This window comes from Homo sapiens, chromosome 6 (genome assembly GCF_000001405.40).
Source record: "Homo sapiens chromosome 6, GRCh38.p14 Primary Assembly".
In the NCBI taxonomy this organism is placed as follows: Eukaryota; Metazoa; Chordata; class Mammalia; order Primates; family Hominidae; genus Homo; species Homo sapiens.
Window position 1 is genome coordinate 83,709,439 of NC_000006.12, and position 17,459 is coordinate 83,726,897.

Here is a 17,459-nt window from a genome sequence, read left to right on the forward strand (position 1 = left end):
CCTGGGCGTTGGGGGCGTTGGCCAAGACGGGCGAGTGGGCTTCTCGGGTTCTACTCTGTGAAGGCCAAGGCAAGGGCGTCGTCGCGCGCTGCCTGGCGGAGCCCAGCCCCTTCCCCACACTGTCGCTGACACGCCCGCCTGTCAAAGGCTCCGAGGCCCAGATGAGCAGGGCGATTTTAAATGTCAGATCCTGCCGGCCATCCGCGACCGTCACCTGTGCGTCTTCAGCTCCTCAGGCTCCTCCGCTTGTCTCAGTTACAACTGGGAGCCCGGGTGGGCAGGTAATTCTAGCCACTTTAGTCTTAAACGGATACTGAGGTCTGCTGAAGGGAGAATAATTAACACAGCCGTTAATCGAGTCCCAGATTACCTTCGACAGTAATCATTTGCGTGCATAAAGAAAACCCTTTGTACCCTTAAGAAGTAATTTCTGCCAATTAAATATAGTGTTGGAACGTCCGTCAATTGTATGTCAAGTGTATATTCGAATAGTAAGCAGGAATTTCTAAACAGGGATGTGGAGTTGGTTAATAGCTTCACGTGTTGACATTTTCAAAGGTTGTTATTTATGTTCACCTTTTTTTTTAATTCTCACAGTAGCATGAAGATCAAAACTATATTTGTGAGCTTTCCTGGCATTTTTTCTCCTTGCTTCGGGTGGCTTCTGCTCGGCCTTGAAGCCATATATCGATACCTATCGATCTCAACGTTTTGTTATATATTCCTCTCTTTCACCTGGTACAGTGTTCAGTATGCAGTCATGATTTCCTAACTACTGAGACTGATTCTAGGACTAATTGGAAGCTTAATGACTAAAGAGAGACAGCTTAAGAGCACTATTGTCTCAAGTACTAGTCTTACCATATTTACAAGGGAAATAAAAACGCAATTCTATTAAAAAAACTTGTACTCCAGTTTTATAGCAGCTTAATATAATGGCCCCAAACTGGAGGAAAGCCAAATGTTATTCTACTAGTAAATGAATAAACAAAATATGGTATATCCACATAATGGAATACTACTTAGCAATAACAAGAAACAAACTAATACCATTCATGAATCTCAAATTCATTAGACGAAGGGAAAGAAGCTCTATCAAAAATTCTACTTATTATTTTGATTTCATTTATGTAACATTCTGGAAAAGTCAAAACTATAGAAACAGAAAACACATCAGGTGCCGAGTCAGGTGACGGTGGCATTGGGGGAGGGGACTGCAAAGGGGCAGAAGGAAACTTTTTGGAGAGATGGAAATGTTTTATATCGTGACGGTGATGATGATTATACAGCTGCATGTATTTCTCAAAACTCATCAATTTGTACACTTAAAATTGGCGAATTTTGTTGTTTGTTAATTATACCTCAATATAATCTGATAGAGTTGGGAGTGGCAATATTAATATCAAAGTAGGTTTTACAATAAGGAATATTAATAGCAATAAACAGGCACATTTCATAATGAAAAATTCATTAAGAGCATGGAACAATTCTACTTGTTTGTATATCTAAGAACAGAGCTTCAAAGTAGGACGAAGCAAAACCTAATAGCATTAAAAGGAGAAACAGGCAAATCCACAATTATACTTCAGGATTTCAGCACTTTTCTCTATGTAATAAATAGGACAAGTAGACAGGAAACCTGTAAGGGTATAGATGACTTGAAATAGCCCTGTAGGCCGGACGCGGTTGGCTCATGCTTGTAATCCCAGCACTTTGGGAGGCCGAGCCAGGCAGATCATGAGGTTAGGAGATCAAGACCATCCTGGCTAACACGGTGAAACCCCGTCTCTACTAAAAATACAAAAAAAAAAAAAAATTAGCTGGGCGTGGTGGTGGGTGCCTGTAGCCCCAGCTACTCAGGAGGCTGAGGCAGGAGAATGGCGTGAACCCGGGAGGCGGAGCTTGCAGTGAGCGGACATCGCGCCACTGCACTTCAGCTGGGGTGACAGAGCAAGACTCTGTCTCACAAAAAAAAAAAAAAAGAAAGAAATAGTCCTGCAGACCAACTTCACCTAATTGACATTTATAAAATAGTCCACCCAACAGTAGTGGAATACTTTCTTAAAGTGTGCATGGAATATTCTCCAGGATTGACCATACTGACTGATCCTAAGCCATGAAGCTAGTCTCAATAAATTTAAAAGGATTATAATCATACACATTATGTTCTCTTACCACAGTGGAATTTAACTAAAAATCGGTGACAGATAGATATATGGAAATCTCTAAATATTTGGTAATTAAACAACACATTCCAAATAACCCATAGGTCTAATTTTCTCATAAGAAAATTGGAAATTTATTTGAACTAAATAATAATGAAAATCCAACATATCAAAATTTGTGGGTTGCAGGCAAAGTGGTGATTAGAGGCAAATTTATAGCATTAAAATGCTTAGGAATGAAGAAAGATCTAAAAATATTTATTTGAGTTTGAACCTTAAGACACTAGAAAAAGAATAAATTGAATTCAACATGAGCAGAAAGAAGGAAGTAATAAAGAGTACAAATCAATGAAAGAGAAAATGACAAATAATAGATAAAATCAATTAAACCAAAAGCCATTTTTTGGAAAAGATCACAAAATGGATAACCCCACTAGCCAGATTGAGCAAGGAAAAAATAAGATGGCAAAAATTTCCAATTTTAGGAGTGAAAGGAGAAATCAATTCTATGGACATTAAAAAATTAGAGAATGTTATAAACAACATTGTGCAATAAGTTGGACAATTTACATAAAATGAGGAAGTAGTATAAAATAATGGTTCTCCAACAGTCCAATAATGATGTAATGTCACATATGTTGCTATTAGTTAAGAGGTTTTGAGCAAATAACATGTTTCCAATAATAATTAAAATAATGCAATCTGTGAATGATTTATTTTTCAAAATAGATTGGAATGGATTCAAAGTCAATCCTATAATAGTGTGCAGTTACATACAATACACTGGGAAGTATTTGAAGCCAGAGCTTATTCTTGGTATGCTACCCATGTCTCTGGTACTATACATGGGAGAATATCCCACACATAAACATCCTGACATAGTGTTAGCAGAATGTTTGAAAATCCCTCAACTATAGAAGTATCATATTCTTATAATAAATAATCAATAAATAATGTCAAGGATGGAACCAATATATGAAATGTGGGTTGTTTTGGAAGATCTTAATGAGCGTTGAAAATAGTAGCATATTTTCAGTAGCAAAGATTTGGAGATGCTGGCTTCTTACAGCCAGGAAAATCTAGAGTTACATCCATGAATGTTATATACTAAAGTGAAAGAAAGAAAATAGACTAAAAGAAAGAAATATATTGAGATAAAAAATTACTTGTTGACATGTTCTCTTTGAAGGCACAGGAACGTAATAAATGATATTCAATAAATCTTAGGCAAGAATAAGAATTGACATTTAATATTTTACAAGTTGAAATATCTTTGATCTCAGTGGTCAGAAAATAGGGTAATTATAATAAACACCCCAAACTGCTTTTTAAAAATACATATTGAGGCTGGCGCGGTGGCTCATTCCTGTAATCCCATCACTTTAAGAGGTGGAGGACAGCAGATCACTTGAGGTCAGGAGTTTGAGACCAGGATGGCCAACATGGTGAAACCCCGCCTCTACTAAAAATACAAAAAATTAGCCGGGCATGGTGGTGTGTGCCTGTAGTCCCAGCTACTGGGGAAGCTGAGTCCCAAGAATCACTTCAAGAAGTTGCAGTGAGCTGAGATCATGCCACTGCACACCATCCTGAGACTCCGTCTCAAAAAAAAAAAAAAAAATTGAATTTATTTTCTGGGCCAATATACATAAATGCATATATGCTACTAAACAGATTTTTTGTAAGTCTCTGATTTATTTATTTATTTACTTTTTGTATAGACGGTCTCATTTTATTGCCCAGGCTGGTCTTGAACTCCTGGCCTTAAGTGATACTCCTGCCTTGACCTCCCAAAGCACTGGGATTACAGGTGTGAGCCACCATACCCAGCTAAGTCTCTGATGTAATACACATGTTTTCTTCTGAGTATCAGATTTAATACAGAAAAATCAAGCCAACAATAATTACACGTAGACCAACAATTTATTTCAGCACGAGGGCAAGTGTCTTCAAGTTCTTGATTTCAATTTATTTGTAAGATACAACACGTGTACAAGAAACAGAGAAAAATAAAGCTGAAGATAATTTGATTGGCTCAGATAACAACCTGAGGTGAAATTAGAAAATTTATACCTTTCTCCTAAATCTATAATATTCTCAAGGTAAAACTATAGGGTGAATTTCATTCCAGGAATGCTTTTCTGTCAAAGTAGAAAAAAACACATTGGTACAAGAATAACCACCCTGATTCTTATTCAATGAATCTTGTATGAAAGACTTAACTTTATACCTCTCAGAGGTTTCTGTGGATTCGTCACAAAGGTTTACTTTTGTGTGTCACTGTGGTAGTTAGTCCCCCAATAAATCTCCTCCCTTTGCATCTGAGCTGTCTCTGTAACTTGCTTTTGATCAATAAAATACAACAGACTGATGCTTGGCAGTTAGGTCATAAGAAACCTTATAGCCTCCACCTATGTTTCTTAGAACATTCCAACTTGGGATGTTCCCTCTTGGAAGCCAGCCACCGTGTAAGAAATGTGTTTACCCTGAACCACTCTACATGAGTAGCCCAAACACACAGAGATGCCCTGCGTAGGTGCTCTGGTCAAAACCCCAGCCCAACTCTCATTTAAACAGCCAGTTTCATCTGCCAGATGTCAAAGTGCATAAGCCATCTCAGGTAGCCCAGAGGAGAATTCCAATGACTACAGACCAGCTGTCACCTGACTGCAACTACATAAAAGACTTCAAAGGAGAACTACCCAGCAGAGTCCTATTCACTCACAAAATTGTGAGAAAGAATAAAAATTTGCTGTTGTATGCCACAAAGTTTGTTATACAGCAATAGACAATAGATTTAAAACTGGGAAGCAAATGAAAATAACATACTTAAATTGTTTTTGTGCCATTAGGCATGTAAAATGTACATGTTCCTTTTATCATGCCAGTTGTCATGTTGAATTCATTTCTAACCTGAATTTTAGGCAAAACAAAACTTAGTAAATATGTTTGTTCTGGCTTGGAATATACTTCATTAACTGTAATTCTTAAGAAACTTGAATGGTTTCATGGATGAATGTTATACTTCCCTAAGATAATCGAGTTGTTTGAATCTCAATCTTACTGATATTTTGTGCAAGCTACAATTTTTCTTGCTACACTAGGGTGTTCATCAGTTTTATGGTCTTTTTCATTTGTTGTCTTATAAAAGAGAAGCAAGCTTTTTGTCTCTGCTCAAGTGCATTCAGGATACCATAATTTGCTTTTTGTTGTGAATTGCTTTTGAGTTTGGGTGAAGATGTCACATTTGTGTGTAGGAGTGGAAAATTATTTTAACATAAATTAAAATAACACATTGAATTATTTCCTCCGTTGAAATATTCTTTATTATGTAGCAAGTCATATTAGTCTGTTCTCATGCTACTAATAAAGACATACCCAAGACTGGGTAATTTATAAAGGAAAGAGGTCTAATTGACTCACAGTTCAGCATGGCTGGGAGGTCTCGGAAAACTTAACAATCATGGCAGAAGGGGAAGCAAACACGTCGTTCTCCACATGGCGGCAGGAAAAGAAGTATGAGAGCTGAGCGAAGGGGGAAGCCCCTTATAAAACCATCAGATCTCATGAGAACTTACTCAGTATCATGAGAACAGCATGGGGACAACCATCCCCATGATTCAGTTACCTCCTACCAGGTCCCTCCCACAACATGTGGGGATTATGGGAACTACAATTCAAGATGAGGTTTGAGTGGGGACACAGCCAAACCATATCACAAGTGAATTCCTACAAGATTGTGGTCAAGCTGTACATGATCTGCAAATCTTTCCCAAAGCCTCTATTTTAGTCCCTTCTTTTTATATATGAGAAAATGTAAGACTAGAGAGTTTAAGTGACTTTCTCATCATCACACACAGTGAGATAACAGCATAACCAATCCTAAACTTCGTTGTTGAACATCCAATCCAGTGTTCTTTCCACTGCATTCATTGCTTCTGATAAAGGTATAACAGTATGATGTTAGACTCTTATTTCATACTAATTAATTCTTCAGTAAAAAAAAAAATCCTTTTTAAAATTTATGGGCTGGAAGGATGGTGGCTAATATCTTAGGTTATAGAAGTAAACAAGCCCTGGTTTGATTCCCTAGCGTTGGTCCTTACTAGCTGTGTGACTTTGGGCAAGGTTTGTAGCCCTTAAGGATGAGTTTCCTCATCTGTAAAATGTGCTTGATCCATAATATCCACCTCAAAGATTGCTGTTACTATCAAATGAGGTAATGCAAATAAAGCCAATAGCACAGTGTTTGGCATGCAATAAAAGCCTAATAATTGCAACTGATAATACTCTGTAATTGTTGATAGACTGATTTTATTAATATATTACTATATTTTCATTTTTATTTTATTATTTGGAACTACAACTCAAGTGTATATAGTTCTCTGATTGAAATATTATTTTACTAGTATCATCTTTAAAGTGAGAAAATAAATTAATAATTTACCTAGCTCCTGAGATGTGAAATCATGTTACTTCAATATTATCATGGAGAGTATCAAGCTTCTATTAATTTCAGGAAACTAGAGTAGAAAACATATATATGGCTGGGCGTGGTGGCTCATGTCTGTAATTCTAGCACTTTGGGAGGCCAAGGCGGGCAGATCACCTGAGGTCAGTAGTTCGACACCAGGCTGGCCAACATGGTGAAACCCCATCTGTACTAAAAATACAAAAAAAAAAAAAAATTAGCTGGGTGTGGTGGTGGGCGCCTGTAATCCCAGCGACACGGGAGGCTGAGGCAGGACAATCTCTTGAACCCGGGAGATGGAAGTTGCAGTGAGGCAAGATTGTGCCAGTGCACTCCAGCCTGGGCGACAGAGCAAGACTCCATCTCAAAAATAATAAAATAAAATAAAATAAAACATATATACATATGCAAATAGACATTGTACAGCAATACTGTTATGAACAGCATTTTGTTATTTCCTTTTTATTAATTGAAAAAGATGATTGCAAGAGAATTCTTTGGAGTGAGAAGATTTTGCTGTGAGAAAGGAGAAGATTAATCAGGAAAGTCTGTCTGAAGAAGGAAGTTTCCCAAGGAAACTTCTAACTCAAGGGCATAGGAGAGCCGAAGCAGTGTGCCTCACCTTCAACTGTGTATCTCCAGGTTTTCCTCTCATTCTTTAACTTGCTCCTGTATTTTAGGTTGCTGTTTGTGTTTGTCTACAGCTCAATTTATATTTGAAGTTGCTTAGGAAAAATGACACTGACTTTACTTGATACTTCATTGCACGAGGATCACAGAAGCCACATGCATTTGTCTTTGTGCAGCTCCAGGAACACAGCAGTGGACTGTGAGAAGAGCTGGTATTTCTCATACTCCTTCAAATTGTGTATCTAAAACATACACATTACTCATCACTTCAAAAATTCTCATGCAAAAAATAAATGAGATATATATAGATATATAGTGGTTTGTTTTTGTTTTTGTTTTTGATTTAGACGGAGTCTTGCTCTGTTGCCAGGCTGGAGTAAAGTGGCACGATCTCGGCTCACTGCAACCTCCGCCTCCTAGGTTCAAGCGATTCTCCTGCCTCAGCCTCCCAAGTATTTGGGATTTCAGGCACGTGCCACCACACCCAGCTAATTTTTGTATTTTTAGTAGAGGTGGGTTCTCGCCATGTTTGCCAGGATGGTCTCAATCTCTTGACCTCATGATATGCCCACCTCAGCCTCCCAAAGTGCTGGGGTTACAAGTGTGAGCCACCGTGCCCAGCTACTTACTTACATGTATATAAATGTGTGTACACATATATACATATATGTACATATATACGCACATACGCATATATATGTACATATATACACACATACGCATATATGTACATATATACACACATACGCATATATGTACATATATACACATATGCATATATGTACATATATACACACGCATATATGTACATATATACACACATATACGTATATGTGTGTATACACACATACATATGTGTATACACACATACATATGTGTATACACACATACGTATATACGTATGTACACATATACATATATACGTATATATACACATATACACCTATATACACACATATACATATATGTACATATACGCACATATACATATATGTGTACATATATACACATACATATATGCACATATATACACACATGTACACTATATACACACATGTACACCTATGCACATATATACACACATGCACACACGTACACACACGCACACATATGTACACACATGTACACATGTGTACACATATGCCCATATGCACATGCATGTACACGTGTGCGCATGTGCATATATACACGTATATGCGCATATGTACATATATGTACGTATATGCGCACATGTGCATATATGTACGTATATGCGCATATGTATATATGTGTATATACGTGTATATACCACGTATATACACATATACATATATACAGATATGTACATATACACATGTATATACACATATATGTACATATATACACGTATATACACATATATGTACATATATACACATACACATATATGTACATGTATACGCGCATATACTTATATGTTGATATATACACGCATATACATATATGTGCATATATACACGCATATACATATATGTACATATATACACGCATATACATATATGTGCATATATACACGCATATACATATATGTAGATATATACACGCATATACATATATGTACATATATACACACACATATATATAGGTCTTTATAGTCAACAATTTCTAGTAACAAGAATATTAAAGAGAAATGGAAAGTTTAGGCTATTTGATATTCAGTATAACCAGATGAGAATGAACTGCTGTGTTACTGTTTAAACTAATTTTGGCTAGAACAAGTAAAGCCTTACTCTTTCTAGAGCATAATGCATTTAACGATATTGAATTTCTTTTTTAATTTACCTCAAGTACTTTCTTTTGTCCAAGGACTTATGCTTCAGACAGTCAGGAGTCATACACAGCACAGAACATTGTTGTGGGAGGTTCAGATAATTAGTAGAGTATACATTTGCAATTTGTTCAAATACTGTACTTGAATTATGCTAGCCACACATCAGAAAGTTCCCAAATAAGCCCCCAAATAAATCATAATAAAACAAAATATATAATATTCTTTCTTGTAAAACGTTAGTTTGGAGAAAGTTTTCAGCTGAGAATCACCTTTCACTTTTACGTTGGAAAATAAATTAGAATAATGCTAGAATAATGCCAACGATTTCCCATGGAGAAACTTAAGAGTGAGTTAATTGTTGTATTTCTCCGAGTGTATGGCTGTTACTATTAACAGATGTCTTCATCTTAACATTTTGTCTCATTCAGCCTAAAACTGGGTTAATTCTGTTTTCATTGTGAATGATTTTAAACATATTCATAAAAACAAAACTCAAGAAATTCTCTGGCATCGTCTCTCATGGGCTTGGATCCTTCTTTTGTCCCTGTATCAGATGCTTTTTGGTGAGCATTATCAGAGATGCACATTTGGTTTATGACACCCATGTCAGTGTAAATGGTGCATTTCTTATATCTGGTAGATATGGAGAGACAAATTTGTTTCCATTGTTACTCACTTTATTCTACAGCCCCTGTCAAGTTCGCTCAGTATTTTGCTGATAAAAAAGAACAGACGTTGTGCCTGTAATCCCAGCACTTTGGGAGGCCAAAGAGAGCGGATCACTTGAGGCCAGGAGTTCAAGACCAGCCTGGACAACATGGTGAAATCCCATCTCTACCAAAGTACAAAAATTAGCCGGGCATGGTGGTGTGTGCTTGTAATCCCAGCTACTCTTGAGGCTGAGGCAGGAGAATTGCTTGAACCCAGGAGGCAGAGGTTGCGGTGAGCTGAGATTGTGCCATTGCACTCCAGTGTGGGCAACAGAGCAAGACTCCATCTCAAAAAAAAAAACAAAAAAACAAAAAACAGACATTGGCATTACAATAAAATTCTGAAATTTCCATTTCATGGGCAAAAGTAGTAAAATATAGATCAAACAAGTGGATAAATGTATTATTTATGCAACAATGTTTATTAGGGATATCAAAGTATTTCTTATTAATAATCCACAAAATTTTCAAGACATACCTATAGCTGAAGTAACAAATACTGATTTTTGTTTCTTTGAAGTTTTGTTGGGGGTTTTAGCCCTTAGCCTGATGCTATCCAGTGAGGGACATTATTTAGCAGCTGCATGATTTATTGCTGGTTGCATTTGGAAATGTTATTGATTGCCATTGTCACATGATCTGTATTAGGAAGCCATGGTCCATTCTGAACTGTGTATATAAATATTGTTGATTGATTTCCAACTATAGTAATGGATTATATGGCTGCCTCTATTTGCAGCCCACCTTAGACACACAATTTCTTGCTTATAAGCCCTTAAAGGTAATTATGTCTGCTTAAGTACTTCGTCTTTCAGGGGTTATAATCTCCCAGCAGCCTTGCCACTTACTAGGCATCAGTTAAGTTCTTAAAATATCTCTTGTGTTTTTTCTAGTAGCAGTTGTCTGAGCTTCACCTGGCCATCCTGGAGGTATTTCCATATCCTTATTCTCATTTGCTTCATCCCATACAGCTGTATGTACAGGGAATCGTTTTCATGACAGGGAACTGGCAACAGTCACAGAACTCATTGCCAGATAGTTTTTTGCCACTTGGCTCCTCATAGTGACCATTTCAAAAGCTGGATATGACATTTATGATAGCTTTAAGTGTCACTATCATCTGGAAAGCTGAACACATACCTCTGGAGCTTGATACTTTACTGACTCAAGATTAAACTTTGTCAGTTTGTCAGTTTAATCTTGGCCTCCTTGATTCAGGAAACCAAAGTACCTATCATCAAATAATGCACTATGTATTTTAGCTCCACAGAGTAGATGACATGTCATGATTGTGGGTAGGGCTAAGTGACAGAGGCTTGTCTGAAATCTGGTCTGTAGATAAGTACTCATTCCACAGTTAGCAAGTTTCTTCCTACATGGAAACTTCCGGAAGAACAGCAATTCGCAGAATCATTTGAGAAATTAACTAACTTTAGCTACCATCATAATGTGGATGATATCTTGGGGTAATGAATCTTGTTACATGTGTGGAAAAATATTCTAACACAATCTATGTCTAATTTTTATAACTATGAACAAGAATATGTAGAATAGATTGCTTTAACTGTTGCCGAAAGCATGTACTCTGATGCTTCATTTAGGGGGGCCCAGCTATGAAAAAATGAAAAAAATGAGATGCAGACCTCAGCCTACCTCCGGGGTTCAAGGTGCAGGTGCCCAAGCCCAAATTGCATATATGAAGATAACTTCAACATTCCAGAAAATAATTGGTGTTTGTTAGCCATAGCAAGCAGAGAGCCAAAAGGCAGTAGTTGGTTATCCAGGCAAATCTGCCATGAGGAAGCACAGCCCAGTCAGCAAACTAGGGGCAGGGGCAGGACTCCAACTTGAGTGGGAGGAGTGCTGGTAAGAAAAAAATCTAGAACAAGACTTAAAGGTCATTCTTAAATACTACCTGGCTTGTATGAGGCTTAGATTTGACTTGGAATAGCATAGATCCTGCAAGTATGAATAAGGTAGTCCCATTTCTAAGAAAGGGTGCAGAGGCAGGAAATGAAGGTAGCAAGAATTCTGCCATTTTAGTCTTATTATCTTGCACTATAGTTTCATGTTTAAGCTGTATTCAAGTGGTCTAGAAAGTAGAGTGTTAATAATATGCAAACATATTTCCTTATAGTGTTAAACATAAAATTCAAATAATATAATTACTTTCTGGTGTTTATATTTGGTTTAATATATCTATATATGTTTAACACAAATAATTTTAATCACAATCCCATCTTTCAGCATTAACTACAGCAAAAATAACTTTTGAAACTGGTGCTAATTGGATGTGTTCTTTTTATAAAAAGCAAATGTCTTCCTTTATTTACCTAAGCCTTCTCAATTTTTATAGATGAATGAATTTACTGACTATGCAACTGTCTCATTTTACCTCTTAAAATTTGTGCCTCTCCTCAGTACAGATATGTTTGATGAGTGAGCTAATGAATAAATGGACCAACATCTAGCACAATTGTAAAACTTAGTATATGCCTAATAAATGAATTTAATAAATGAATGAATGTGAAATCATGGGTAGTAACAACATTGGCAATGGAAATTAATTTTTTGGAAAATTTAATTTCTGAAATAAATCAGGAACCTCTGATTATATGAGTCAGATACACAGAGAAATGAAAAGGACACTACCTGACTTATTTATTTATTTATTTATTTTTTGCAAATCAAATGGCTTTACTCCAAGGAATTCTAGGCATTGTCACAAGCTGTAATTTGCCAACTGCATATGAGTCCTTAAAATACCTTCAAGTGAGGCTACAATAATTGTTCAAAAGTAGGTTTATAGAGTTAATCACTGCTGTGCTGTGAAAATACTACAATTTTGTTAGCACAGCAGTACATTTTGATAGGTATATGTAGCCACATTGTAAAATAGCTAATCTGTCACACTGTGACTCATGATTCTTGACCACATTTCATAAACTTTCTTCCTAAAATTTGCTCAAAGCTTGGATATTCTACCAACTAAAAACACTTTTCCATAAGCCTTAATAAGCCTGTGATGAATTTCTGCTGCAAGAGCAATTTTCGTATTTCAGAATTAAATCGGCCAGGCGCGGTGGCTCACGCCTGTAATCCCAGCACTTTAGGAGGACGAGGCAGGCGGATCACCTGAGGTAAGGAGTTCGAGACCAGCCTGGCCAACGTGGTGAAACCCTGTCTCTACTAAAAATACAAAAATTAGCCAGGCATGGTGGCAGGCACCTATAATCCCAGCTACTCCGGAGGCTGAGGCAGGAGAATCACTTGAACCCGGGAGGCGGAGGTTGCAGTGAACCGAGATGATGCCATTGCACTCCAGCCTAGGCCACAAGAGTGAAACTCCATCTAAAAAAATAATAACAATAAATAAGAATAAGAATTAAATCACAGTATGTGTTTTGCCTAAGAGCCATATATTAAGGAAATAGGTATTTTAAACTAAATATATTAAGCCATAAACACTGATAGATAAATCATCTTACAACCCAGCTTTAAATCATAATGTGATATGACATTAATTTAACAAATATTTGTTGAAGACCCATATGCCAGGCACTTTCTAGGAAAAAAAGAATTCTAGCAAAAGAGTATAGACAATAAACTAATAAGAAAATTGTCTAAAATATTAGAAAGTGGCAAATGCTCTTATAAAAGAGTAAGCAGGATCTGAGGGCTAGTGTGGGAGGAGTGGAAATGTAATCTTAGATAGGGGGTGGTTGAAAGTGAGTGCTCATGAAGGAGGTACATTTGAGTAAACAAGGTGGTGAAGAAACAAGCCACTTTTGCGTAGAATACATTAATAATTATTCTTGTAAATTTCCTTCTGAACAGCCCTCATTTTCTATATGGATGATGTCATTCTCCTGCCAAAAACTCTTCAATGACCTCCTACAGCATTTGGCATAATATGTAAGCTCCTTAAGTTGTTCTATGACTACCTCCGTGATCTCACCTCAGCCTCAGTCTCTAGCCCCTTGCCTTTTTCTCTTGATTACTTTGCTTCAGCCATACTGGATTTATTTCAGTTACCTCATGAGTACCAATGGCTTTCCTACCTTTTGGCCTTCTCACAAGCATTTCTTTCCTCTGCTTGTAATCATTCCGCAGACTTTTACCTGACCAACTTCCCAACTAGCTGACTACTCTACTTTGCCCTGTTCTTACATTCTCATTGCACAATATGTTTGCCTTCCCATCCTTTATTACAATCATAAGTAAATAACATGTAATCATTTTCTTAGTTTCAATTTTTCTGATTTTAAGCTCCTTGATGATAGGGATGTTGTGAGATGTCTGCCTTGTTCATCAGTGTCTCCAATACCTACTACATGGTAGATGCTCGGTATCTATTGAATGACTAAACCATGCTTCAAAAGGGGTGAGATTTATGTAGCTGGGCTAAGAAAAGAGAATGTACCCAAGGTTAGGGTGGGAAAATAAAAGTGAAAAGTATTTTTTCCCTGACTGAACTTAATATTTCAACAAATTAAATGGCCAAGACTGAAAGACCTTTAAGGTCTTTAGGCAGTTCTTTTAGGTGTATTCTTTTCATGAATCCATATATAGCTGGCAATGAGTCTCCGTAGGTAATGATTATAGACTAGGAAGTGTAGCTATTAGATGCTTCTCCAAACATTTTGGTTCTCTCTGCTACTAGGTATGTGGTAGAAATCCACTTCCCTACCCTCTTGAAGTTGGGGATGGTCATGTGACCTTGGATTATGAACTGTGAGTGGATATAGGATATGTTACTTTTGGGAAGAAGCTTTAAGAGTCACTACACAATTAGTGCCTTTCTCTTTGCCACAGTACCTGGCAATGCTTCAGGTGGTAGCTAGTCTGTTAGTGGGGCCCTGTTCCCTTCTTCACTGTTTTGCTTTTTGCCTGTCTCTGCCTTATCTCAGGCTTCTACCATTTCTGTCCTGGATAGCCTCTTAACTTATGTCCCTGTTTTCACTTTCACTCCCCTCTGGTACATCTACTGCACTGTGGCCAAAGTGGATTCTCTAAAAGAGGCTCTGATCACACTCTTCTTCTGTTTAAAACTCTCCAGGAAATTCTCATTAACTTCAGGAATAAGTCTACACCTTCAGCAGAATGTATTCAAGCAGGACTTTTGAGACCCTCAGCCACTGCCCCTGTCCCATCACAAGCTAGTCGGATGTCCATCCCCCATAAACCCATATCTTACACTTCTATATTAGTACTTTTCACAATATCTCACAGCAACCCCTGTCAGCTCTCTGGCAGCAGAACACTGGGCTGCAAGGATCTTAGTGCCACTCTGTGGTGGCACCCCCTCAGCCCTGCAAATCTTTTTTACTCACAACTGACCAGGCAAGTAAAAAGAGACCATACAGCATGCTTGTTATTGAAATCACCAGGTATACATTTCTGATCTCTGATTCATTTTCTTTTTCCCCTTTTTGTCTTAAGATAAAAGATTTGTATCTTTTATTTGTATTGAACATATTCAGTCTTGAAATGTGTTCATCTCTGATATGCATGTGTCCTCTATATTAATTACAAGTCCCTTTTCCTAATTTTTTTATATCACTGGATGTTGTCTTCCTCTTAGGATTTATTACTATGGGAGCCTGAACAAAATAAAAATTTAAATATAGACTATTCTATTCGAAGTATCTTAACTACATTTAAGTCCTATTGGGTTTATTTAAAAAAAAAAAAAAAAACAGGAGAATATTAACCAGTGTCAACTAGCACTGTCAAAGGGTCAGAAACTGAAGGCCCTCAAACCATGCTCAGAGGGACCAAATTTCCATGTGGTCCTATTCAAGTAAAATAAATTATTGACTTAAATGTACTTGAATATCACCAAAGCTTAGAAACTACATTAAAACTAAGTATTTTTACACTACAGAAAAATAGAGAAATAAGCTAATGATCAAGTTTGAAATACCAGGACCTCATGAATAGAAAGATTGGGTAAGAATAAAGGACTGTAAAGCCAAAGGCTGTTAAGTGTTTATCTAGTGCAGTACATCCTCTTGCCTTCTGGCAACAATCCATTTAAGCCATCCTATAATAGGGAGAATCTCTTCTTTTTGTGAAGACGTGAGAAATAAATTCCATAAGCTCTCTTGATTGTTCATTCCACTGGGATACCTTGGTGATCCCAGACTGTTTCAACATCTTAACTGCCTTTTAATTTCCTTATTATCTTTGATTTGGACTGCCTTTAAAATATTTAATTTTGGTAATTTGGCTCAATTATTTTTATATCACAGTTATTATTTGTCAAGGGTAAATTTTAGCTTACATATATTTAGGTGGGCTTATATTTTGTCCTGCAGGAAAAAGTGATGTAAGAATTAGGCATATATAAAAGAATGTTATATCTTTACCTAATTTTAAAATTGCAAATCACATTTAAAATTTTGGTGGCTCAAACTAAAGATTAAAAAAAAAAACAATTTTGGGCATGGTGGCTCACGCCTGTAATCTCAGCACTTTGGGAGGCTGAGGCAAGCAGATCACAAGGTCAGGAGTTTAAGACCAGCCTGGCCATCATGGTGAAACCCTGTCTCTGCTAAAAATACAAAATTTACCTGGGCACAGTGACATGCGCCTGTAATCCCAACTATTTGGGAGGCTGAGGCAGGAGAATTGCTTGAACCCGGGAGGTGGAGGTTGCAGTGAGCTGAGATTGCACCATTGCACACCTGCCTGGGCAACAGAGCAAGACTGTGTCTCAAAAAAAAAAAAAAATACTTGGTAAGTAATAAGAGTTTAATAGTAATTTTTTAAAAGGAAAAGATTATTTTAAGCTTTTAAGCTTAAAATTTATTTTACAAAACATAATATTAATTTAGCTCAATTTAGCCATTCATAATGTATACATATTTCAAAACATCATGATAAATGAATGCAAATTTTTGTCAATTAAAAACCCGTTAATTAAAAAACTAAACATATTAATATTAAATGAATGTTTAGTTTTAAATATGTGAAAAATGTTGAGAATAACATACTTGTAGTTTCTTTTAAAAACTACCACCACAACAACAAAAGATGAAAAGGCCATTTTCCTATTTATATCACGGGCTACAAATAAACTATTTTATTTTATTCAATAAATTTCAAACCTCTCTTGCTTAGGTTACTTGCCAGGGAGCCTGAAGTTTTCATTATCTGAATTTCACCTTGGAATTAGAGGGAAGAAATTGGATAGTGTTGTCTTCTGAAGGCACTATTCAGATGAATCCACAAGAACTCAGAAGAAGAGAGGGAATGCACTGAAGAAACTCATTTACCCTTGTCCATTACCAAATATTTATTTTTTTTAAGGAGCTATCAACACAAAAGACACAGACACCCTGGCTGTGAATGAATGAGGTAATGTGCAGTTAACTTTTAGTAAATTTTTTTTTTAAAAAAAGAAGAAATGAACAGAAACACAGTGTTTGGTTTGTGGGATAAGAACTCAGAGAACCTCCTATTAGGATTACTGAAGTGAAGAGTATAAGGGAAGGATTGGAACTACTGGGAGGCCAGGTAAAATTTGGTAGCCATGATAGGCTAAAAAGCTGACTACATCTGCTCTTCTACAATTTTACCTAAGGCTGGGGCTTCAATATTTATTCAATTTTGTCATTTTTTCATTAGTTCAGTATTTCATTCACTACTGATTTGATGAGCACCTACTTTTTAACCAAACACTATCCCGA

At 36.7% G+C, this 17,459-nt stretch overlaps 1 long non-coding RNA gene across 1 annotated transcript; it reads left to right on the forward strand.

The window, feature by feature from the left end:
- Positions 4-17,057, forward strand: LOC105377879 (uncharacterized). The gene is made up of 3 exons (NR_136251.1): positions 4-281; positions 13,603-13,680; positions 16,891-17,057. It is a non-coding gene; the product is annotated as an uncharacterized LOC105377879 (long non-coding RNA).
- Positions 17,058-17,459: the final 402 nt, after the last annotated feature.